The sequence below is a fragment of the Homo sapiens genome, chromosome X (genome assembly GCF_000001405.40).
Source record: "Homo sapiens chromosome X, GRCh38.p14 Primary Assembly".
Lineage (NCBI taxonomy): Eukaryota > Metazoa > Chordata > Mammalia > Primates > Hominidae > Homo > Homo sapiens.
The window spans coordinates 27,015,373-27,043,365 of NC_000023.11; the positions used below are offsets into that span (position 1 = coordinate 27,015,373).

The following is a 27,993-nucleotide window of genomic DNA, read 5'->3' on the forward strand; positions in this document are numbered from 1 at the left end:
GTGAAAAATATTAAATAACATATATTATTTACATTCATAGTCATAGAAATGTATTAAGATCTCTACATTTCATTGCTTTGTTAGAAATGTCCTAAAGCTCTAACGAGATTGCTTTTAAAGATATACATTACTCAATTACTTTAAAAAGTATATCCATGTCCTGAGTTGATACTAGGCCCAGATGAATTATATGGCCAAACACACATAAAAAGTGCAAGCCTAGCTACTTTATAGTGTAGGCACATACACTGCACCACAATTTCTGCAATGCTTCAATAATAGATGAGAAGTTGCTCTATCTGTTTCTGTGAGCCAGATAGCAGTGAGAGTCTCACTGGCTAGTTGTATTTCTCCTATGTGACACTAGATTAGAATTTGATGAGTAATGTTTCTGTCTTGATCTCAGAGAATATATGGGCCACTCTATTGTAGCTGTCAGTTTTGAGTATGTGCAGTACAACTTTGATGATAAAAGAGAAAGTTAACAAATGACTGTAAAAGTGGTCATATCGCATGGTAGTTTTAATAGAGCAGAAGTAGTTGTGATTACACCAGAGTAACATTATCAGGTTTTTTTTCGTGTGTCTATTCCTATTATCAGGTACCCAGAGAGGTCATGAAGAAAAATAATCAAAGTCCTTGGGGCTGCAATCTTTTCAAAGACGAGGTTGATATAAAGGTGAGGTTGATTTTAGGGTCAATCTGTATAGACCACTTTAAGAACATTCCTCTCCATCAATTCACTATGTATTTCTTACTTTGACACCAAACATTTAACCAATTGTCTACCTTACCAAATTAAATGCATCTGAATTTGACTGTAGAGTTCAAACATCACCACAGGAAACAATTAGAATATCTCTTGAAACCTAACCATATGTGCCTTCTCTTACATAGGTAATAAACTCTGTGTCAGGACAGTATGAAGTATCTCACATCCAATAAACCATCCAAACAATGAACTAGGTGAGTTATTTATTTATTTACTTATTTAAAGTGTGATGAGTTAATGCATAGCTTGATCTTTCAACTGGTTGGCTTCCTTTAGGAAAAATCTATACCACATAACTTCAGAGAAGAGTTTAGTTTTCTTAAGTAAAGGACGCATGGATAGACAGTTTCTCTATTATGTCTTCCAACATGGCATGCCAATTACAAACAAAAGATTTAGCAGTGTCAAGACTTCAAATACATATACGAAATTCTCTCGTACCTCTTGTAGGTTTACATTATGGTGCTCAATTAGCTGAAAGAGACACTCAATTCTATTTTGTAAACAGAAACATATGTACATACATGCATATTATATTTAAGTTATATTTTATCCCATTAGTTCAGGGATCAACACACTGTCCCACCACCTGTTTCTCTAAACAAAGTTTTATTGAAATACAGCCACATCCATTATTTCACATATTGTCTGTGGCTGTTTTCCCATTACGACAGCAGAGTTAATTAGTTGTGACAGACCAAATGGCCAGCAAAGCCTAATATTTTAATAATCTTGCCCTTTAAGGAAGACTTTGCCAACTCTTGCACTAATTGATTTATTTTAAAAGCGTACAAGGAACATATTTGCATAATCAATAAGCTGTCATGTTCCTTGCTTCTATAACGAATGCTCGTTTATAAATATTTTTAAGGAATATAATATACACTGACGTCAATATTCTTTTTTTTTTCTGTAAGCATTCTTTGTTCAGTGAGCACATGGTTCCATTAATGAGAATCTGAGGGAGCTGGTATCATTGCCAAGGGGGAGCCTGACCTGACCTTCTCATTCAAAAAAGATCTAGTTAGTATCCATACTGAGGGACAGATTTTGAATATGTAAAAGTACGTATCAGCAGTTCATTGAGCCAAATAAAGGCTTATTGATTAAGCAGGGTGCTACTGACATTCAAAAACCACTGATGTGCTTAGAAATGGGTAATCCAAATGCCTAGATTAGATTAGGGGAAAAGAGTTCAGATGATGCTGACATTGATTTTTCAGTAACTTTTTGCATTATAATGTCCATATTTTCTGAGTCCAAATAAAGAGAAGATATATAAATGATTTAACAGCATAATGGTCTCTTGAAAAGTTGTATAACCTATTATGTTTCTTCATTATTTTGAAATAAAACAAATGCTTTTGTTTTCTATGTATTTGGAATTCTTTTACTTAAATAAGACGTCATTGTAATAAAGGACTATGACAAAGACAGAATCAAGCAAATAATTAAGCATTTAACATAATAAAGAAATATGAGAGGTATAATCGACTCCACAGTTCACTGTAATTTGACATTGTCAAAGGTAGCCTGATTTTTGGTTTCTTTGGTCACAAATTCACGCAGAATGCTTCAGATTATTCTAGTCAAGAGTCTTAATCCATTGCATCTAAGTGAAAAAAAAGGTAAGATTAGAATTAGACAGATAAATTGTTAGTGAGGGGAAGGATTAATGAATGCAACATATAAGGAGCGGGGCTATCAGATTGAAACATACTTAGCTAATTCTACTTAAATAATGTTGCTAGGTGATAGGAATTTCCTTGGTTCACATCAGTGATTCTCAATTCGTTCCACTTTAGGAGCACCTGGAGTTCTTTTCAGATAATACCAAATTACAATGTACACTACTCAGGGGATGGATACACTAAAAGCCCAGACTTCACCACTATACATCCATGTAACCAAAACAACTTGTGCTTTAAAAGCTATTGGAATGAAAGAAAAAATTTAAGGTAGGTGACCTGAGATCTTCAAGGGCAAAGCCAACCTAGAATGGAGTTATACACCAGCTGTCAGAGTCACCATTAGGACATGATACACAGTAGACACTTCTCCCTCTGGCCTGTCTTCTTAATAGAATATGAGTTGTCAAGTGACTAAGTATGTGAGATTGGGATGACATTGAGGAAGACACCTTATTGAGACTTTAAAAATCATGGAAGTTTCCCTGTCTGAGTCGGTCTTGGGCCAGGACATTACCTGTCTCTCATGGTGGAGTGGGAGCTATGTCGTCAATAAAATCTTTGAGAATTCTCCAAGCCAAAAAAAATAAGATAATACCAATTATTAGGCCCCACTCCAAATTAGTTATATCAAAATCACTGGTGTTGGGGCCTGAGAGTAGCTAGGGCCTCAAAGTTCCCCAGGTGATTCCAACGTGTATCAAGGGCTGGGAAACCACTGAATAGATTAAAAATATGAGACAGTTTTCCCATTAGATATGGAAAATTTTGAGAAGCGATACAAAATTTTTAGGAACTTTTGGGATTGAGGCTATTAATAATTTATGAAGCAAGGTGATAGTCATAGTTCCCAGTTGTTTGAATGGATTTATTCAAACTGAGTATTCAGCGAACTTATTCATAGAATACAAGTAGGTAAAATGGTTAGGACATGATCTAGTGTACTGGGACTCTGAAAATATTAAAATCTGAGATTAATTGATTTTTGGTTTTCAAATCATATTCGGGTTCTCTCCTTTGGAGAGTGATATGCTGGCCAATGGCAACATCCATCTTGAAAATTTTGTTGAAAATAAACCTAAAGTAAGACAATGTCTCCTCTTTTATGGTCAAACAAGGGTATTTGTGCAACATGAAAGTGAAAAATAAACCTACTAAATCCTTGATTTTTAAAAGCTTGATCTACTTATTAATGGATGCTCCTTGAAGGAGGTCCACATAAATCATATTCTAATAGGTTGCTTAAACTTTCATAGTGTATCTTAAGTAACTTAATAGAAAAATTCAGGAAACATGTTTTCCTGAATAGCAAATATAGGAAAATATAGTCAAATGATTTGAAGTAATTATTTACTTTATTATATAAATGAAAAGATTCACAGATAAGAAACTGGGACTCTCCCAAACTATAGCTAGTGTTCACTTTATTGATAGATGCCAAAATGGACTGAGTGAAGTTTTTTTTTAAAAATACATTTATACATATTATATATGTATTAGTAAGAGATAAACATTAGAAATTATATATTATGATTTTATACATAATATATATTTCTAGACATAATTTTATACATAATTATATAATTATATACTATATTATGTATTACATATATCTGAAGCTACTATATTATATAGAAACTTCTATAATATCATATGATATAGAAGCTTCAAATATATGTAATATCTAGTATGTATTATATTATTTACATATAATATATAAATAATACATGTAAATAATATATGTATAAATAATATATGTATATCATATATAAGTACATTAATATATGTATATATAATATACATTATACATATATTATATATAAATATATAATTTCCTCATATACGATTTCTAATTTTCATCTATCTTACTAAGGACAAGAAAATTCTAAATGACTGTCAATGTTCTTATAATTAATTTTTTAAAAAGTATTTATTGACATTCTGTAAAATAATTGGTATGTACTCCCCCACAATTTCATGATCAAGAAGAACAGAAAAGCTGAGAAACGATTCCAGATTAAAGGCTACTAAAGACACATGATGTAGACATAAATGCAATGCATGGTTGCAGATTGAATCCCACAATAGAAAAAAAATAAATATTCTAAAAGAAACTTTTTTTTTTTTTTTGAGACAAAGTCTCACTTGTTCCCCAGGCTGGAATGTAATGGCGTGATCTCGGCTCACTGCAACCTCTGCCTCCTGGGTTCAAGCGATTCTCCTGCCTCAGCCTCCCAGGTAGCTGGGATTACAGGTGCCCGCCACCACGCCCGGCTAATTTTTGTATTTTTAGCAGAGACGGGGCTTCACCATGTTGGCTCAGCTGGTTTCGAACTCCTGACCTCAGGTGATCTGCCTGCCTCGGCCTCCCAAAAAGCTGGGATTACAGGCATGAACCACTGCACCCCACCTCTAAAAGGAACTTAGAAAAATTGTGAAATTTAAATATGGACATTGAATTAGCTAATAATACTGTTTAAATTATAAATTTTCTGACTTTGCTATCTACACTCTTGCTAATCATGAGAATATTCTTAGAAAATAAATATATCTAACAGGTAGATAGGCATAAATATTTAGAAAACATCATGGAATATGGCAAAATATTAACAATTGATTAATCTGGTTGAAGGATATATAAACATTCTTTTTTTTTTGCTTGCAACTTTCCTATAACTTTGAAATCATTTTATAAATATAAGTATCAAAATGCTTTTTACACTGTGCATGTAGCAGGTGCTCTTTTAGGTGAACAGAAAAATAACATAACTAAAATCATGGTTCTTGCATCTTAGGGGATGAAAACAGATAAAAACAGAAAACAAGTAAATAAATAAGATACTCTTGAATAATGTTACTGTGAAGGAAATATAATGGGGTGGTACAATTATGTCGTAGAAAGAATTGGGGTGAAGAGTGTTATTTATACAGGAAGACTTCCCAGAAGATACCATGTTTAGCTGAGCTAATCATTGGGAGACCTTAGGAAAGGACATCCAGACAGACATTTTGTAAGGCCAAGAAATAAAGGAAGGCCAGTGTAAATAGAGTTTAATGAACTACCAAGGAGCTCATAAAAGCTTCAATGCTTCAATTTAAAATTTAGGTATTTTTTTTAACCTAAACTATCTCTGGGTGGGCATTTTGCTTTTTTAAAAAACTTAGACTGAGACAATTCTAGGTGTCAGAAAACTACAAGTAAAAAGGCTGCCACAAAGAACAATTCTTAGGTTAACTTACCAGCCAGAGATAGAGTGAAATATACAGTTGAGATTAATATGAGCCTTTGTTAAACTGGAGGGTAAGTGTGACTTGGCCTCCCTCTTCTGGAGAAGAGATTACAAACGGAATTGTTTCCTTTGAGTTAAAGCTTCCTATTCCCAATATAAATTAAGTAAAATAGTATGTTGGGCTTAAATTTTAAAAGCCTTAATTAAGTTTTGTAATGTTTCCTGATAACATATAATTTTGCCCAGAGATTATTTATGGACCAAAAAAGAAAAGAGAGGAAGAGACAAAGAATAGATTTCTTTAAATTTTATTCTTTTTTTCTTTTTTGTATTAATTATTCTTATTTATTTTTATTATTATACTTTAAGTTCTAGGGTACACGTGCACAACGTGCAGGTTTGTTACATAGGTATACTTGTGGCATGCTGGTTTCCTGCACCCATTAACTCGTCATTTACATTAGGTATTTCTCCTAATGCTATCCCTCTCCCAGCACCCCACCCCTCAACAGGCCCAGGTGTGTGATGTTCCCCTCCCTGTGTCCACGTGTTCTCATTTTTCAACTCCCACTTACGAGTGAGAACATGCAGTGTTTGGTTTTCCATCCTTGTGATATTTTGCTGAGAATGATGGTTTCCAGTTTCATCCGTGTCCCTGCAAAGGACATGAACTCATCCTTTTTTATGGCTGCATAGTATTCCATGGTGTATATGTGCCACATTTTCTTTATTTCTTATTATACTTTAAGTTCTAGGGTATATGTGCACAATGTGCAGGTTTGTTACATAGGTATACATGTACCATGTCGGTTTGCTGTACCCATCAACTCATCATTTACATTAGGTATTTCTCCTAATGCTATCCCTCCTCCAGCCCCCCACTCCCTGACAGGCCCCGGTGTGTAATGCTCCCTGCCCTGTGTCCAAGTGTTCTCATTGTTCAGTTCCCACCTATGAGTGAGAATATGCGGTGTTTGGTTTTCTGTCCTTGTGATAGATTGCTGAGAATAATGGTTTTCACCTTCATCCATGTCCCTGCAAAGGACTTTTCACTCTCTTTCTTTACCTAGTGAACAGGATCAATAAGACAGATAAAGTAAGATGAGGGTATTGAAGGTAATATTTTTCCTCTGGTTATTGGCTCAAAGGATCAATGATATTAGAGATGATTATTATTCCTCACAGACTGATGGCTGAAAAATACAAGGGATCCTCAAGAAATCACAATATGGATATAGTTTTTAAATCTCCATTTTAAAGTGGCTGTATCAATGTTTTTGCCCCTCCATTGTGTGTGATTTGATGTTTAAAGTGATAAACATCTGTCTTAGCTCTAAGAAAATGGACCAGAGTGGTTTCTTGCCTTACCCAACCTGTGGCAGAACTGCCCAACAACTTTCATAGTATTTTAATACCGTTGTTATAACATATATTTTATTTTTTTAATTTGGCATTTGTTATTACAGATATTGGTTACTCTCTGCATATCTCCACCCTCAAATTATTACTAACACCCCTCCTTGTGTTTACATTAAGCAATTTACTGTTATAAAGATTAACTTTGTAAATAAACTATATATAAAATCTCCCCCAAAATACAAATATATTTATTCCTAATTATTTTCACAAATACAACAAATCATAGCTAGGCATGCAGGGCAGTGGAGAGGGGATAATTAGATGTATCTGTATAGCAAAGACTCGAGAGAAGATATCTTGATCAGTTTGGACTGCTATAATAATAAAACACCATAAACTAGGTGGCTTAACCAACAATCTATATCTTACAGTTCTGAAGGCTGGGAAGTCCAAGATTAAAATGTCAACATATTTGGTGTCTGCCTGCTTACAGTCCACATTTTGGTTTGTGGAGAGCCGGTTTCTTGTTGTAGCCTCATATGCCTGAGAGAAAGCAGGCTCTGATGTCTTCCTCTTCTTATAAGAACACTAATTCCTCTGATGGCCAGTGATGGCGAGCATTTTTTCATGTGTTTTTTGGCTGCATAAATGTCTTCTTTTGAGAAGTGTCTGCTCATGTCCTTTGCCCACCTTTTGATGGGGTTGTTTGTTTTTTTCTTGTAAATTTGTTTGAGTTCATTGTAGATTCTGGATATTAGCCCTTTGTCAGATGAGTAGGTTGGGAAAATTTTCTCCCATTTTGTAGGTTGCCTGTTCGCTCTGATGGTAGTTTCTTTTGCTGTGCAGAAGCTCTTTAGTTCAATTAGATCCCATTTGTCAATTTTGGCTTTTGTTGCCATTGCTTTTGGTGTTTTAGACATGAAGTCCTTGCCCATGCCTATGCCCTGAATGGTAATGCCTAGGTTTTCTTCTAGGGTTTTTATGGTTTTAGGTCTAATGTTTAAGTCTTTAATCCATCTTGAATTAATTTTTCCAGTTTTCCCAGCACCATTTATTAAATAGGGAATCCTTTCCCTATTGCTTGTTTTTCTCAGGTTTGTCAAAGATCAGATAATTGTAGATATGTGGCATTATTTCTGAGGGCTCTGTTCTGTTCCATTGATCTATATCTCTGTTTTGGTACCAGTACCATGCTGTTTTGGTTACTGTAGCCTTGTAGTATAGTTTGAAGTCAGGTAGCGTGATGCAGATCAAAACCACAATGAGATACCATCTCACACCAGTTAGAATGGTAATCATTAAAAAGTCAGGAAACAACAGGTGCTGGAGAGGATGTGGAGAAATAGGAACACTTTTACACTGTTGGTGGGACTGTAAACTAGTTCAACCATTGTGGAAGTCAGTGTGGCAATTCCTCAGGGATCTAGAACTAGAAATACCATTTGACCCAGCCATCCCATTACTGGGTATATACCCAAAGGACTGTAAATCATGCTGCTATAAAGACACATGCACACGTATGTTTATTGCGGCACTATTCACAATAGCAAAGACTTGGAACCAAGCCAAATGTCCAACAATGATAGACTGGATTAAGAAAATGTGGCACATATACACCATGGAATACTATGCAGCCATAAAAAATGATGAGTTCATGTCCTTTGTAGGGACATGGATGAAATTGGAAATCATCATTCTCAGTAAACTATCACAAGGACAAAAAACCAAACATCACATATTCTCACTCATAGGTGGGAACTGAACAATGAGAATACATGGATACAGGAAGGGGAACATCACACTCTGGGGACTGTTGTGGGGTGGGGGGAGGGGGGAGGGATAGCATTAGGAGATATACCTAATGTTAAATGACGAGTTAATGGGTGTAGCACACCAGCATGTCACATGTATACATATGTAACTAACCTGCACATTGTGCACATGTACCCTAAAACTTAAAGTGTAATAATAATAAAAGAAAAGAAAAAGAAATAAAATAAAATAAAATAAAGAACACTAATTCCATCATGGGGGCTCCATTCTCATGATCTCATTTAAGCCTAATTACCTTCCAAAGACCACACCTCCAAATACCATCGCATTGAGGATTAGAACTTCAATATATGAATTTTGGGAGACACATTCAGTCCACAGCTAGAGAGAACAAGAAAGGCAGAACTGGGACAAAGCCTGAGAAGGGAGGTGCAGTGGAATATCCCAATGGGACCCTGGAAATGTTTGTGAAAATGATTGCTTTAGTTTGGGGGTGGGGAAGACCAAATGAGATTTATTCCTTGACTACCCCTCTGTCCTCATCTCTTACTCTTTCTGCCTTGCTCACAGCAAGACAGAAAAATGCCCAAGACATACTCCTAACAGGTCCTTTCATTTGTTTTCCAAGGAACTCTTTCCCCCACAGAAAGTTACAGGACAATGTCCCTTACTTCATTCCAGTCTCTAATTGTCTCCTCTAAGCAGCTTTTTCTGGCCATGCTACCAAAATTACTAATATTGTCCTTCTCTGCCACCATATTCTACTATATTTTAATTCAGACTACTGATTAGAACCTAGTCATTTATTCATCTATTCATTTTTTTTTATCTAGAGTGTAATGTCTGCCTCCTACCTTAAACTGTGAATTATGAGGCTGCAACTTTATTGGTTTCATTCAACAGTGTATTCCTCATTCAAAGAACATATGGTATATAGAAAGCATTCAATGCATTTATATAGAATAAAGAATGAAAAAATTCTCATGTCATCAATATAAGAGGAAATGATTTAATAAAAGTAAGCATAGGTTTCTTCTGACTTCAGTCAAATTAGATCTCAAGGAAGCCCATATGGCAAGTGGATTCCAAAAAAGCTAAAGTAGAAACAGAACGTACCCAACAGAAAAAAGACCTGCCTCTCTTCATAATCCGGGCTTAGTAGCATCATCCAGTGCTAACCAATAGCATCATCCAGTGCCAATATCTTGGCATGTAATATTAATATTATCAAAATCTGTCATATGGTAATACATGTTCTGTGTGAACTTTGAACTCATTCTGTTCTAGATGGCAATAAATAGCATTTGAAACAGGATACAGATATTTGCTCTTGATGCATCTTTGAAGGAGTGCTGTCTTGCCTTTTCCCCTCAGGTTATAGAAGTGAAAGTTAAGCTGAACAAAACTAATGGTAGTGTGGCTTGTTTTATCCCTTACCTTTTATCAGTTGTAATTTAAATAAGGCTCCACTTTACACAAAAGGTTGGGATTATTTTGGAAATGTTTATCCCCCTAAATGCTCTACTGTTTTGCTGTCGTATTTTGTGTCTACTTAATAGTTGTGTGTCTAATTAGAATTAGTTTTGAAGATCATTTTCTACCACTACATTACATATTTCTTGAGAGTCTGAGATAGGGCTTACTCATATTTGCCTTTCCATATCAAGTTTCAAGCCACTTTTAATGTGGTAGGGAGTCAGCTATAGCTGTTGAGCTACAATTGTAATGGATTTAAAATTCTTCCATTTATTTTTAAAATAATTCTTAATTTTTAATTTTTAAACATTAACCACAATCCTAATTATTTTCAAACATCAGCAATGTATCTGTAGTTTAACCACAAAGATAAAATACATACAAAATATAACTTATTCACTGTGTCTTTTAGGAAAAACCTGTGCCTGGTCACTTAAAAGAAAGCTTTCAAAATATGGTAGAGTTTCTGGTAGCAGTATGGAATGTTTGAATGGCCAAAACAACAGTTATATCTTCCAGGTCTTCTTTTTTTCTGCTGGAGTCATGACAATTCCTGTTCAAATCTGTGATCCCTCAACCTCAACGCCTAATTCTTCATGATTCTTTGGACTCTTTATTGCCTACTGAGAATCTGAATCCAAATTCTTGGTGATTTTTAACCTCATTTCTTCTTGGCAAACATGGATTTGTCAGAAGATATGATATTCCCACCCCCTTTTTTTGAGACAGAGTCTTGCTCTGTTGCCAGGCTGGAGTGCAGTGGCACAATCTCGGCTCACTGCAACCTCCTCCTCCCAGGTTCAAGCGATTCTCCTGCCTCAGCCTCCCAAGTAGCTGGGACTACAGGTGAGTGCCACCATGCCCAGCTAATTTTTATATTTTTTGTAGAGACAGGGTTTCACCATGTTGGCCAGGATGGTCTTGATCTCTTGACCTTGAGATCCACCTGCCTCGGCCTCCCAAAGTGCTGGGATTACAGGCGTGAGCCACTGTGCCCGGCCTAATCCATTTTTTTTTTTTTTTTTTTTTTACTTAACTGCAATTGGCATTTTTCATCCAGAGTCCTTTCCAACTCAGATTTGCCCAATTATGAGGCCTCAAGAATTTGCCCTTAACCCAGTTTCCATGACTAATGTCAAAAGTGACTGGGAGTACGCAAGCATCCCACAGCCCTTGAAGATGTTTAAATGTTCTTATTTAAGAAACAAGATGTAAATGCATTCAAATTTATCATCATAATTACCTCTTGTAAGTATCAGTAGGTCCATCTTTGAATGAAATTTTTATTTCACAAGTTTTTCTTTGAGGATGCTTGCCATTCTTGTATATTCATCACAAAATGACTTGATTTTCTCAGCACAAATACCTACTCTCTTCCTTTACCACCCAATTCTAATGGAACTCTTTAATGCATCTATTGGCCTTTAAAGAACTTCTAGAGCATTTGGGTTTTGGCATCAGTTGATATTCTAAGACCTGAGAGTCACTGGCACTTTCAAAGAGAAGAAAGGAAGTAATTAGATCTGGAATTTATTATTTTGATAATATTTTATTGTGCACATATCTATGTAAGAAAATGTGCTGAGTCGTAATTCCTGCTATAGAAGAATTTCTAAGGCTGTGAAAAACCTAACACAACATTGTTTTTGGCTAAAAACAAAACCTATTTTCACTATAATAACAGGAAAATTTCTTTGTTTATTTCCATTTATTTTTTCTGTATATAGTGTCATGCATTCACATATTGGGAGGCTAACAACTTAAATTTAAACATAACTCATACTTCCCCTTCTTTGATGCATATATAATACTTTGCTTTCTTTTCTAAATCTTTTAAATTTTTTTTTAAATTTTGCGAGTACGTGGTAGGTGTATTATGTTTTCTTACTTGAGCTTAAATTTTATTTTTTTAATTAATTCAATTTTTTTTGAGATGGAGTCTTGCTCTGTCCCCCAGGCTGAAGTGCAGTGGCACGATCTCAGCTCACTGCAACCTCTGCCTTCTGGGATCAAGTGATTCTCCTGCCTTGGCCTTCCAAGTAGCTGGGATCACAGGCATGTGCCACCATGCCTGGCTAATTTTTTGTATTTTTAGTGGAGATGAGTTTTCACCATGTTGGTCAGGCTGGTCTCGAACTCCTGGCCTCAAGTGATCCACCTGCCTCGGCCTCCCACAGTGCTGGGACTACAGGCGTGAACCATCATGCCCAGCCGAATTTGAAAAACTAGAGACAAATTATGTGGTTTTACCTGGAGGAAATTTTGCATTTCCCACTAACAACATTCCCTTACTTATAACACCAATAGTACACCAAACTGCAAACAAGAGAAGTTCTCTGTATCTTTTCTTTTTCTTTTAGACCATATGGGGTGTATGGAAGCTATTCACTTAGTCTATGAAATTATACGACAGACAACAAAACTACATTAGAGGAGATGACTGTAAATGGAACATGTACTAAGACCATAGAATGTAGCATCTGACTAAACATCCGAAAGTATTATGGACATGTTACTCTTCTAGCAAGAAATATTTGCAGTCTGTTTCCTAACATGCAGAAAAGTCTTCAAGAATCAGATGGAGCCAGATGGGGATGGAAACAAGATATGCAGCTGGCCCATCTGTCAAACACAATGTGCAGTCTGAGGAGAACTCCGTGACTTCCCCTGGATAATCAACCTTATTCCAAAAAGTAGTCTGTTCACTTGGCCTTGCTACACAAAAAGCTCATAAAAATAGGCATTTACTAGGCATCCTATATACCATAAACTGCTATGCCATCACTTTTATCAGCAAAAAATTATATTGCTCTAGTATTCAATAGTACAGTAGGGAAATTATAGTTAACAATAATTTCTGTATATTTCAAAATAGCTAGAAGAGAAGAATTATAGTGTTCCCAACACAAAGAAAAGATAAACGTTTTAGGTGATGGATATTCCAATTACCCTGATTTGATCATTACACATTGTATACAGGTATCGAAACATCACACACAGCCAAAAAATATGTACTACTATTATATTTCAATAAAAAAGAAATTGTATTTTTATATAGTTGCTTGGTATTATTTTTCCTGCTTGCTCTTTTACAAATTGAATCAACTTATTTACAACCAGTTATATCATTTCTCTCTCCAAACCAGTTTTACAGCATCTTCCAAACTGATGTAATCTGCCAATCGAATTCAAGCCTTATTTGCCCTCTATGTATGGTCAGAAATACATTTAATAGCGCCAAGAATCATTTTCTGGTGCTTCAAAGGGCTCACTATCATCTATCATTCTCCACATTTATGATCTCTTAGTTTGTTTTTTATCCACTTTATTTTTCTTATAAAAACTTATTTGACCATTTTTATACACTTACTTGAACCACTATATCAACCACGTTATTGAAGCTTAGACGTTTATTATTCGTAGTCCTCCCTTTATACGCTAATCTTATAATCTGTCAAAGAACTCTGCCCAGCATGATTCATTGTTCATGATCCCAATGTGTTTATTTTGCATAGTTTCATTGTTCTCTAGGTGTTTGTAGAATTTCTCTCACTTAGTTTTATAGTGACAGTCAAATTTTTGTGCTTGAGAAAAGGCTACATGGATTTTTCAAGAAACATGTTTTAACTCTTTCATGTAAATGAGAGTTCTTTGGTAATAATAACAGTCATAGATTTACTAAAATACATATGTGTTTGTGTAGGGAAGTGTGCGTGTGTGTCTGTGTACATAACCAAATTTTTACACCTCTGCATGTAGAGGAATTGGAAAAGAAATACAGAGCTTTCTGCATTCTGAGTCACTTTGTTACCATTATGGGTTAGATACAGCCGCTTATGATGCACTGTACTTTATGAAAGTATCTTCTTCAGCTTCTGCCTGAAACTTATTTCTCCAAAGGGTTCATCAATGACAGCTCCAAAGATCCGAATAGAAACACACACTATTCTCCCTAACATCGTTCCATTCCTCTCCCTGAATATGTGGCACAAACATTCCTCTTATATAATAATTACACCAGCAAAAATAATAGACCAACGAACAAGTCAGTCAACCTAAATAATCTCATCTAGAATCTCTGCATTGGTTTTCCAGCCACTTCAAGATATGTTTGAATCTTAATTTGGGATTATGGTAGATCTTCTCCAAAAGTACTAAGGCATGTACATGAGCTTACAGATATGTGGGAGAAACTAGGGAGTGTTTGGTATTTTAGTAAGGTAAGGGGTTGTAGTACATAGGTTCCAAATTGTGGTTTGGGCAGCAAAAATCGATCTCCTTGGCCATATTGAACCAAGGTGAAAATAACAATGTTCTGATATAATTTTTAAAGATCTTTGTTGCTATATTAGTCCTATAACACCTAATCGATTAAATAGTCTGATTATATTCTAATGAAACAAATATGTATTATGAAATGACTATGTTGCAGATATGGTGCTAGTTATTAGCATCAAAGATAATTGAAATCTAGAAGGATGCTCACAGATAACAGCTATATAAAGTATATAAGTAGAGCAGAGGAAGAAAAGTCTAAGTCTGGTTGGGGACTATGGCTAGCTGTTAGGAATCCTTAAAGCACTTTAGGATTTGAAGAAACCATTCACTATTGGTAAAATTTGTTGTACTGTTGTAAAGTAAGAGAATTGAATATACTCACCATCTCTATTTTCTCTCTTCCATTTCTTTCTGTAATTCATTCAGTCATGCTTTATCCTCCAATTTTTCTCAGAAACTTCTTTTGGTAAGATCACCAGAGACTTAAACCTTGCTAAATTCATTGGCCAATTTTGAGTCCTCATTTTCTTCATTCTTTATGTAGCATTTGACATTCTTAAAAACACTTTCATCATTTGACTCCCATGACAGCATGCTTTCCTGGTTTTTTATTCTATTTTACAAAGTGGGATATTCCATGAAGAACAGGGGATTGTGTTCATGAAGAACAGGGGATTGTGTTCATGAAGCAGCTGGTATCATCCTAGGATGTCATTAAACTCATTCAGAAGACTATATTTGACTATTTTTCATGTCATTTGACTTAAATGTGCACAGGAATAGTTTGGATGTGAAAAATACAAAAATTAATTTAAAAGTCTTGTAATATAAATAATAAAAATATAAACATTTTATTAATGTATTATTTCCTTTCTTTAGAGTCAATGGTTTTCATCAAGATTCCTACAGCTTACATTCAAGTATTGGGCAATAAAAGAAAATGCATTGGCATAAAAATGATTAGTTCATATGCTCTAAATTCTTTTTCGTATACATACATAAACATTGAAATTAAACAAAATGTCACTATCATTTTATCTTTTTTGTCATTCATATGACCTTTACTGAAGAATCTTAACTAACAACATAGATCTATCTTTCTCATCTTTTCCTTCCCCACTATATCTACCTGTTAGTTTTCTTTAACTGCTTGTATTAGATGCTGAGATGCTGAATTATATTCTAGATCTTGTTACTTGAATAGTACTTACCTTATAGTCTTTGTATTACTTTTATTTATTTGAAAAACACTTATTTTACTCCATTATATGCCAGGCATTGTGCTTCTGACAAGACGGGAAAGATAAATTAGAATCTGTTACTTTATAGAAACTCAAGTTAAATACTAAATAGTGACTCAAATAATGCATTTGTCATTTTAAAAATCAATTTGAGTATTCTGGTATTAGTATCATCTTCATGTTCATATATTATTGAGTTTGAAAGAATAAAATTCACATAGTGTCTTCTAAATACACTTTATAAATTCCCAGAAATATAACTGTCTCATTTTTTTAGGTTTATTTATTTATTTTTGAGACAAGGGCTCACTCTGTTGCCCAGGCTAGAGTGCAGTGGCACAATCACAGCTCACTGTAGCTTCGACCTCCTGGGCTCAAGTGATTCTCATACTTAATTTGTGAAGTAAGCTATTTCCATAGATTCTACCTCCCCAACAGTATTTTCTCCTCTATTTTCCCACTGCCTCCTCCTTTTACCAGATTTGATTGTGCCGCTCCAGTCCTTCCATCTTCCTTTGGGCCTCAATTCTAATAAATGAGTTAGATCCTTGGGTGAGCCCTGCACATTGGGTAAGAACACATTTCTCCTAGGTCTTCTATGTCCATCTACATGGTTAGTAGTGACCTGAAATATGAATCAGTCATTTCTATCCTCCCGAGAAAGTGCTCAACAAAACTATCCTCCCTGAGTCAATCAGAATCACTCTTGACTTGTCATTAACTTTGCTTGCCAGTCACCTGAAAAAGTCTGAGAAAAGTTCATTCATTTTCCATAATCTTTTCTCTGTGTGGCTCTAGACATTCCCTATTCCAATCCTATCATTTGGATTTCTGTAATTCTTGGTATGCCATTAGCAAAATCTCTTGAATCCTCAACCTCTAATTTTTATGTTGCTTTTATCTTCAAGGAGACTTTCCTCTGATGACACAATTTCTCCTGAAGCTCTCCCAAGTGATGGCTATTACTGTGTCCCACAACCCTCATATGTTTCCTCTGGAGATAAGGTAACATTTCTCTTGGATTTTTATTGCCACTTCTAGAATATTCTATCTTCTTTCTTTCTAAAAACCCTCATTTATGACGTTTATATCATCAATCTAACTTATATCCTTCCCCTCAATATTGTTGATTTCTATTGAATCTTGGATCATTCTACTTTATTCTTGGCAAATTTTAGTTTCTTCTTCACTGTAATTCTGGTCGTAATTATACTTGATATAACTATCAGCATATATAAATAATCTTTTTTAACAAGTGTTCTTCTCCTATCTCCCTTTCTCTAGTGATCTTGTCATCCACTATAGCCCATCAACCTCCATCCATGTTCACTGTCTGGACAAAAGGTATTCTTAACTACTTAAATCATTCCTGTTTTAGTTGTCTATTCATGTTTAACCAACAATCCAAACACTTAGTGATTTAAAACAAAAAAAAAGTAGATAATTGTGTATACATTTAGAATCTGGGCCAGGTTCAGCTAGTCTTGCCTCATGTGGCTGCATTTAGATATTAAATTGGCTAGGCACTGGGTTGAGTTCATCTGGACCTCTATTGAAAATGAGATTGACGTACAGAGGAAATAGAACCAAATTCTACATGTGAACGTGCCCCAAAAGCATAAGGAAAAACCACATGTATGCACACAGAATTTTTCATTTTTAGTATCTGAAAATTAAACATGAACTAAGAGCCAAAGCACAATAAGATATATTGTAAATCCGTTTAACAGAGGTACATTAAATTATAATAGGCACCAAATATCTTTTCATTTCTCTTTACCTTTTTACTGGCTGTTCTTTCTGAGCCAAATTCACTCTTCCACTCCCACTTTTTACCTAATAAGCATCCTATGCATATTTTTCAAAATTTTAGTAGTATTTTGGAAAATCCATGTGTAGAATTGACTGCTCTTTTATCTGTAGTTGTATTTTATCTTTTTTTTTCTTTTTAATATATTCTGTATTTTTCAGTTTACCATGTGGCAAATGAAAATTATAAATGTATATTTATGGGAGCACTGAGCAATTCCACCATTTTGAGCACCTTGTGTAATATTATATCCTCTACTGAGGCTCCTGGGATTGAGTCAAGTGGCAGCAAGGGAAACCGTCACCATGCCCAAATAAAAGTCTCATCGATGATATCCCAACATGAGCATTTCTCAGTTAAGCATTTCTTATCTGCAGGAGGCATCCACTGTAATACAAGAAAGAGAAGAGTCTCCATGCAGAAGGAAGACTGTGTCATTGTTTTGGTGAAGTTGGCAGTAGAAGGAATGGCACCAACTCAACAAATCCACCTCTTTGTGGCCATTACCTTTAGTGGGTGGCCTAGGCAATGCACAGGTGAGGAGGCTTTTTGTCTAAGGGGTGTTGTTTTGGGAATTTGCTGATAACATTCACTCCCAGAAGAGTTCCCAGGAAGTCATCTTCTGCAAGGGTGTCCAAGAGACCACAGGTAGTTCTATTTTATCTTTTATATACTCCTACTATAATGTCTACTCTATTATACTAAAATTTCACATTACATAGCTTTTCCTTCAAATATATTGTAAATATTTAGAGAAAAATAAATTCTTTTTTAAAAATATCTACAGGCCCAGTTTTTAGCAGAATCATGTGTTAGATACCTCTTAGTATGTAATCAATAAGTGAACAATCAAAGATGTGCATAGAAAAGTGGCCAGATCTCCATATCTTACTGTCGTGGTAGATAGTCACATCTTATTCAGTGACCAAATACTTGAGAAACTTGTCTGTGTATGTCACTGTGCTAGGTGTAAGGATATAGTAGTAAAAAAGATGGAAAAGTTCCCTCTTGTCAGGAGCCCACATTCTAGTGGTCATGAAAAGGATTAATGAATAAACAAATAAATATACAATACAATTACAGTTTATGATATATTTGAAGAAGGGAACAAATGTGGTGTTCTGCTAGATAAGAATTAGGAAATATTCATACCTAAGCTGGCTAGGAAAAGCCTCTCTGAAGAAGCAACGGTTAATCTGAAACCTGTGGTGGAGAGTGAAAGGACATATGCATATAAAGATTTGGAAGAAAAAGAATTCCTGGTAGAGGAAATATTAAAAACAAAGTCTTTGTGGAGCAAAAAATTGACCTGTCCATATAATCAAAGTGATGCAGGATTTTTTGCTCCTTAGTTCGGCTAAGTTCCGGGTTCCTGTCTCATGACCAGGAAAAATTAGGCATGTGAACACACTGAAGGGTGAGGGGGACAGACTTATTAGATGAAAAGAAAGCTCTCAGCAAAGAAAGAGGAGGTCCTGCCAACAGGCTCCTACCTCACAGATTAAAAACCAGGCCACCGCACCTCATCTGAAGAGGCCAGGCTCCATCTCCTGCATAAGGCGCAAATTCCTAGTGACTCCATCCCATTCCCCCAGTGCATGTGGGCCTCCAATCTGTTGCAGGCATGGCCAGGTAAGACCCTGTTCTGGTTCCCTTATCTGCACAAAAACATCTGGCATAAACATTGTGGGGCAGGTTGGAGATTTTCCAGGGACCCTTCCTTATCTGCCTCCTGCATCTATCAAAAGGAAGGCAACAGGACTAAAGTATAGACTGAAGAGTGACATGAAATGTAGTTTAAGAGATGAGCAGAAGCTTGATCACGCAGGGCTTTGAAGGTGCTGGTATGAAGTTTGAATTACATTCTCCATATTATGGAAGATAAGGGAAGTATTACAAGCATGGAAGTTGCATAAAAAGATTTATATTTTTTTACTGTATAAACTGATCTGCCTCAAAGAAAAGTGCTATGGATACTCTATTAGGGACTATCGTCATTAACATTTACCCTCACTGCCTGATGAATGTGTGGAAAATTACCTTTATACCAACAGACATTTCAATCAACTTTCTGTCAGACATGTAAATATAAACAATGATCCAAGACACACCAAATATATGGTAAATGCTTTCCACAGGAATAATGAATATATAAAAGGAAACAAACTGTAAAACATTAAAACAATTTAATTATGTTGAATATAAAAACATTTTTGAAATTCAAAGAAACAGAAAATATATGGAGAACCAGTAGAAAAAAATCAAAGTAAAACAACGATTAATGTACTCAGAGGGATAAAGAAAGGTATTGTAGGGCCAGCGTGGTGGTTCACACCTGTAATCCCAGCACCTCGGGAGGCCAAAAAATCAGCCAGGCATGGTGGCGTGCGCCTGTAATCCCAGCTACTAAGGAGGCTGAGGCAGGAGACTACCTTGAACCCAGGAGGTGGAGGCTGCCGTGAGCAGAGATCACGCCACTGCACTCCAGCCTGGGTGACAGAGCAAGAGGCCATCTCAAAAGGAAAAAAAAAAGAAAAGAAAAGTATTGTAACTGTTAAATAAAAATAGAATGCTACAAAATGAAGAATAATCTGAGACTAAGAAAGAGCTCTTGAAAATTAAAATTGTATAGTTGAAATAATATAGTAGAAGTGATGAAAGATATACTAAAGGAAGTCTTCTGGAAAGTAGAATAAAAAGTTTTTAAATAGAGTAAAGGAGAAAAAGATTAAAAATTCAGAAGATTGGCCAGACGTGGTGGCTTACACCTGTAATCCAAGCACTTTGAGAGGCCAAGGCAGGCAGATCACAAGGTCAAGAGATCGAGACCATCCTGGCCAATATGGTGAAACCCCGTCTCTAATAAAAATACCAAAAAATTTAGCTGAGTGTGATGGCTCCTGCCTGTAGTCCCAGCTACTTGGGAGGCTGAGGCAGGAGAATTGCTTGAACCCATGAGGTGGAGTGAGCTGAGATCATGCCATTGTACTCCAGCCTGGGTGACAGAGCGAGACTCTGTCTAAAAAAAAAAATCAGATGATTGATTCAGAAGATCAAATAGCCAATCAAATCATATCCATTTCAATAAACACATTCATAAAAGAGAGTAAATTATCAAAAAATGCAAGAAAATGAAGGAAATAAGTGTTCAAGTTGAAAAATTTGAAATCTATAATAGATTATCGGTCATTTATTGGTGAAATTCACAACATCAGTGCCAAGCAGATGATCTTTAAAACTTTTAGAAAGGAAAATGCTCACACACAATTTTTTAACAAGAGACAGAATAGATATCAAGATGACACTGATGTTTCTTAACGCTTCACTGAAAGCTGGAAGGCAAAGGAGGAAAACAAGCCTTTAAATTGTTGAGGAAATTTATTATTGCAGACTTTGAAGTCCCAAACAAATGATTAATTACATAAAATAGCAGAATAAATATTGCAGATGTAAACACTCACCCTGACTTGCCTTTTTTTTTTTTTTTTTACTTCCCAGAAGTCTTTTATTAGGAAGTTCATGGAGTGTATCTCCAGAAAAACATAAGAGCAAAACAAGAAAGAAGACATAGGATCTGGAAAATAGAAGATCCAATTGTAGGGGCAGCAATTTAAAGTCCTAGGATAATAGGGAAATTAACCTCCAGGTTAGATAGTTGTGGATATGATCTGGAAAACATTTAGTTCACCTTGTAAGAGAATAGAGGCCTCAAAAACAGGGACTCCAAGTAGAACAAAACTCAACCCACGGGTTAAATATTACCGTAAACTGTTTTAGAAGAAGACACTGAAACATTTGGTGGAAGATGATGTAGGTTAAGGAAAAACATTATGCAAATGTGTATAAGCAAACAAACATGGTAATGATTTACTCTAATAAAACACTGCCCAAGAAAAATATATTCATACTGCACTACTTGGCAAAACAGTGAGAAAATATTTGATTTAGAAAAATTACACAAATACATACACACTAAAGATTCACCTTACCAGTTGAAATATTGTCTTTTATTTAAATGCTAAGTGACACTGTTTCTTTTCACAAATATATATTAGTTACTTTCATCAGTTTTCTATGTCTAGTATCAATTTATATCATTATGTTATTATGTTTATGAAAATAGACAGGAATATTTATTTTCTTCCAGAAAAGAAGACTTGAAAATATAGAAATCTTCCTACTCTTTAATGTTTTCGAGTTGTTTGCAGGTTCCAATAATGTATTCTGAAAGATAATCACCAGGCAAAGGTCAGGTGTTTCCTTAAGGAAATCATTCTCTAGATGACTTGGGGGAAGGTGTAATTTCAACTGTCTTTAGCCATGCAAAATATCCCTTACCCTGATCAATTAATGATGGTGATTTACAAGATATCAGGCTAAGAGACAATTACTTGAAAAGGTGATTTGCATTAAAGACAAGGTGATCTTGTAACCCTTTTTCTTTAGCCAGACAACAGTAATTCTTTACAAAGCAAAAGATTTCATTGTCTGAAAACAAAATTACATTCCTTTTTGCCATGCCTTTAGCAATGAAGCGAAAATAAGTAATTGGTTTTGAACAATTTTAAACAAGTATTATACAACTCTAATGATGTATTACTTTTTTGTCTTTCATTTAATAAATTGTCATGATGATCAAATGAAGATAGAAATGGTATTCTATCTGGTTGATCTGGCACCAAAAAAAGGAGAGGAAATAAAGAATGTTTCCAGAAAAAAAGTCAGAGTAAAACAAGAAATAGGAAGACATAGAATCTGGAGAATAGAAGATCCAACATAGAGGGGCAGAAGTTTAAAGTCCTAGAATGATAGGGAAATTAAGCTCCAGGATGGATGATTACAGATATGGTCTGGAGAGCAATTAGTTCACTTTGGGAGAGAACAAACTCAATGTCTTGTATATTATATATTTCCTACATATTAGTCATTGAGCCTGGTTTAAAAGAAAAGGTTTTGTAGCCATGACAATAACTGCTAACTGCCAAAGAGATTTTATATCCTTAATGAATGGTACGGTAAGTTTTTAGTTACTCATAAAAATAATTATTCTATATAATTCACAAGTACACACACAGTCATCAGCAAAATAAAAATTGTTAAGTGTAAAAGCTTATATATACAGATATATATATATATACACATATATATATATCTGTGTGTGTGTGTGTGTGTGTGTGTGTGCTTGCACATGCGCTATGGATTAAATGTGTCCCTCAAATTTCACATGCTAAAAACTTAATCTCCAAATTCATATGCTGTTTGGAGAAGGGCCTTTGGAATATAATTAAGATTAGATAAGGTCATCAGGGTGTGGCCCCCATAATGGGACTGGTGGCTACATAAGAAAAGGAAGACAGACCCAAACTGACATGCACACTTTTGCTCTATTGCCATATAATGCCTTCCACCATGTTATGACATAGCAAAAAGGCCCTTCCCAGATACTGGCCCCTCAAACCTGGACTTTCCAGTATCCAGAAATGTAAGAAAATGTGTATTTTCTTTATTAAAATTGCCCAGTTTGTGGTATACTGTTATAGGAATGCAAAATGAACTAAAACAATATGTAACAACAACAATAAATAACAATAATATATATTGATTATTTTGAGAAAGTGCTTATTAAATATCCTGTTAAGTAGTACATCTTCAATTAATGCTATTGATATCTCAATCTGAAAAAGCCTTTAAATCAAGATCTTTTCTATTTCTTATCATATTTTGTGCATTATAATACTTAATACAAAATACTTAATTTTTTTTTTTTGAGATGGAGTCTTGCTCTGTTGCCCAGGCTGGAGTGCAGTGGAGCGATCTCAGCTCACCGCAACCTCTGCCTCCAAGGTTTAAGCAATTCTCTGCCTCGGCCTCCCAAGTAGCTGGGATTATAGGCGCATGCCACCATGCCGGGCTAATTTTTGTATTTTTTAGTAGAGAAGGGGCTTCACCATCTTGGCCAGGCTGGCCTTGAACTCCTGACCTCGTGATCCACCCGCCTTGGCATCCCAATGTGCTAGGATTACAGGCGTGAGCCACTGCGCTCAGCCCAAAATACTTAATATTTATGTAATACTCTGCATATGTTTAAAATATATTTAGAGTACAATTAGGAAATCAAGTAAACGCACAATAGGTGTAAACATATATATACTTGAATGATTTAACCTTTATGTGTATATATACATTTATTTACTGCATGTCTAATTCTGATTGCTTTTTAAAATAAACTTATTTTAGAACAGTTTTAAATTTACAGAAAAATTGTGAAGACAGTACAGAGTGTTCCCGTATAACCAATACCAATTTTTCTCTATTATTAACATCTTGCATGAGTATGGTATATTTTTAAGTTAGTAAACCAATATTGATACATTATTATTAACTAAAGTCCATAGTTTGATCAGATTTTTAGTTTTTACTGATTTTTTTTTCTGTACCAAGATCCTACCAACAATTCTTCATTACATTTAGTCATTCTCCTTACACTCCTGTGGTCTGACAATTTCTCAGATTTTCCATGTTTTTGATGACCTTGACAGTTTTGAGGAGTATTACTTAGGTGTTTTTCAAAATGTTCCTCATTTCAGATTTGTCTGACGTTTTTCTCATGATTATATGGGAATAATGCCTTTTTGGAAGAAATACCATTGAGGTAAATATTTTAATCATATTATATCAAGAAAATATAATATCAACATGACTTTGTTGATGTTGACCTTGATCACCTGGCTTAGGTAGGGCTTATCAGGTTTCTCCAATGTAGTATTTTTTTTCCCCTGTCCCAGTTGGTCAGGGCAAATAATTATTTTCAGACATTGTTCCCTTTATCTGCTTATAATTTGTTGAGGATTTTTGCATCTGTGTACATGAGAAATACTGATCTGTAGTTTTTCCTTCTAATATACTGTCTTTATCTGACTTTGGCATTAGGGTAATGCTGGCCTCATAGTGAAACAGCCTTTGAAAAAATTATAACTGAGACAAATATGACAGTGAAAGAGATCTGACCTAACTTATTCCATCTTGCTTCTAACCTCCAAGCTATCCTTGTTCATTCCTAGGCATAGGCTAACTTTAGGAGAAAATTTATAGTTTAACTTTGAAATAAAGGCAATAACAGTCCTTTCCCAAAACAAACCCGCTTCTAGCCAGGGGGCTAGACTGCCTTTGCACAACTAAAAAATTAGCCACAAGAGTAGAAATTATGGTTTAGGAGTCGTGCAACTAGAAGCTGCAAGATTCTGAAGCCAAATTACTTCTGGGGATAACATTACTTCTGTAAAACCCAAGATTAGTGCTTGAGATATTTTGCAGACCCTACACTCGATGGATCAGCTGTCACCACTCAGATCAATAAACCGGCTCATTTGGACTTGTGGCCCCCACCCAGGAACTGACTCAAGGCAAGAGGACAGCTTCAACTCCCTATGATTGCATCTCTGATCTGAACAATCGACATTCCCCACTTTCCAACCCCTACCCGCCAAATTATGCTTAAAAACCACAATTCCCAAATTCTGAGGGAGGCTGATTTGAGTAATAATAAAATGCTGGTCTCCCTTACGGTAAGCTCTGTGTGAATGAAACTCTTTCTCTGTTGCAGTCCCCTTGTCTTGATAAATCAGCTCTCTCTAGGCAGCGGGCAAGGAGAACCCACTGGGTGGTTACAGTAGTGTGACTTAGGGAACGTTCCTTCTGCTTTTATTTTCTGGAACTCATTGTGAAGGATTTTTGTCATTTCTTCCTTTAAAGCTTGGTGGAATTCACCAATGAAAACATTTCAGTCTGGTGCTTTTTTAGAAGGTTCATAATTATTAATTTAATGACTTTAATAAATATAGAATTATTCAGATAATCTATTTTCCCTTGTAAATTTTGATACTTTGTATATCTGAAGAAATAGGTCCACTTCATCTAATTTATCAAAATTGTGAGCATAGCATTTCTTTATTATTATTATTATTATTATTTTTTTTTTAGATGGAGTCTCGCTCTGTCACCAGGCTGGAGTGCAATGGCTCACTGCAACATTCAACACCCTGGTTCAAGGGATTCTCCTGCCTCAGCCTCCCGAGTAGCTGGGATTACAGGCACACACCACCATGCCCAGCTAATTTTTCTATTTTTAGTAGAGACGGGGTTTCACCATGTTAGCCAGGATGGTCTCAATCTCCCGACCTTGTTATCAGCCTGCCTCGGCCTCCCAAAGTGCAGGGATTACAGGCGTGACCCACCGTGCCCAGCCCCTTTATGATCTTTTTAATGTCTGTGGCATCAGTAATGTGATGACCCTGTTTCTATTTCTGATATTGGTGATTTATGTCTTCTCTTTTTTTCCTTAGTGAGCTTGGATAGAGCTTATTGGTTTTATTGATTTTTTTCAAAAAACCAGCTTTTGGTTTCATTGATTTCTCTATTGTTTTCTAATTTTTAATGTGAATGATTTCCTCTTCAATTTTTATTACTTCTTTTTTCTGCTTGCTTGAGACTTAAATGGCTGTTCCTTCTGTACTTTTCTAGTGTAAGATTCAATTGCTGATTTTATAATTTTGTCTTTTCTAATATATGCATTTAATACTATACATTTCACTGATTTTGCTGCATCTCACAAGTTTTTGATAAATTGTATATATATTTTCACTCAGTTTAAAATATTTTTAAAAGTTATCTTGAGACACTTTGATCCATGTGCTATTTAGACAACTTTTGTTCAATCTCCAAATACTTGAGGATTTTCCACCTATATTTCAGTTATTTATTTCTAATTTAATTTCACTGTGGTCTAAGAAGATACTTTATCTGATTTCTAATTTTTGAAACTGGTCAAAGTGTATTCTGTGGCATAGAATGTGGTGTGTCTTGGTGAGTATGTCATGAGAGCTTAAGAATATTATATATTCTACTGGTAATGGATGGAATATTCTATAAAGGTCAGTTAGATCAAGTTGATTGATAATATTTTTCAAGTTGGCTATATCCTTACTGATTTTCTGCCCTATTGATCTATCAATTGCAAAAAGAAGGGTGCAGAAGTCTCCAGCTATAGCAATAGATTTGTCTATTTCTCCCTTCCTTCCATTCTATCAGTTTTGCTTCACATATTTTCATGCTATCTTGTTAAATGCATACATATTTGGAATTGTTGTCTTGGAGAATTCACCACTTTATATATATCATTTTATAATGCCACTTTTTATCCTAGATATTTTGTCCTGCTATTAACTTTTTCTGAATTAAAATAGCTACTACAGCTTTCTTTTGATTAGTGTTGGTATACCTTCCTTCATCTCTTTACTTTTAACCTATTTGACTCTTGCTATTGAAAGTGAGTATCTTGTAGACAACATAGATATTGTTTTTCTTTTAATCCACTCTGACAATGTGAGGCTTTTAATTGCTATATTTAGATGAGTCACATTTAAATGATTATTGATACATTTGGGCTAATATCTACCATGCTTTCAGGTGTTTTCTGTTTATTCCACTTGTTCTTTCTTTTTCACCTCTTTTTATGCCTTCTCTGGTTTTATGTGAGCATTTTATATTATTCCATTTTATTATCTCTCAGCATATAAATTATACCTCTTTTTAAAAAATTAGTACTTGTGCTAAAGTTTGCAATACATATTTTAACAAATATGTCTGCCTTCAAATAATACTATAACACTATATGCAAAGCAGGAAACTTACAACAGAGTATTTTCAGTTTCTTTCATCATGTCTTTTATGATATTAGTACCATTTGTTTTATTTAACCATATGCTATAATAATGCATTGTTACTGATCCTACTTTAATTAAATGAATTAAATGCTAGAAATAAAAAACTACGCTGTAACAGAAATGAAGAATGCCTTTGATGGGCTCATAAGTAGACTGGGTGTGGCCAAGGAAAAAAATGAGTAAACTTTAATTAAACTAACTAGTTTAATTAAAAAGAAAAATATTAACGATATGAAAATAAAGACTAATAAAAATATGAAAAATAAAGAATTTCATATTACCTTTATTTATTTCTTCTTCATCCAATGCTCTTCTTTCCTTATGTAGGTCTCAGTTTCTGACCTATATAATTTTCCTTCTCTCCGAAGAACTTTTCACATTTCTTGCATGGCAGGTATGCTGAAAGTGAATTTCATCAATTTTTGATTGTCTGAGAAAGTCTTTATTTCTTCTTTAATTTTAAAAATAATTCACTACAGAATTCTAGAATTTTTTTCTTTCAAAACTCAACATCTCACATTCTATTCTCTTCTTGCTAACATGGTTTCTGATGAGGAAACCACTATAATTCTTATTTTTGTTGACCTATGGGTACATTTTTCCCCATATACCTTATACCAGATTCATTCAAGATTTTCTGTTTG

At 34.9% G+C, this 27,993-nt stretch overlaps 1 long non-coding RNA gene across 1 annotated transcript; it reads right to left on the minus strand.

Annotated features, from left to right (window-relative positions):
- Nucleotides 1-963: 963 nt before the first annotated feature.
- Nucleotides 964-27,743, minus strand: LOC124905231 (uncharacterized). The gene is made up of 2 exons (XR_007068360.1): nt 27,631-27,743; nt 964-2,384 (listed from the first exon to the last, which is right to left on the minus strand). It is a non-coding gene; the product is annotated as an uncharacterized LOC124905231 (long non-coding RNA).
- Nucleotides 27,744-27,993: the final 250 nt, after the last annotated feature.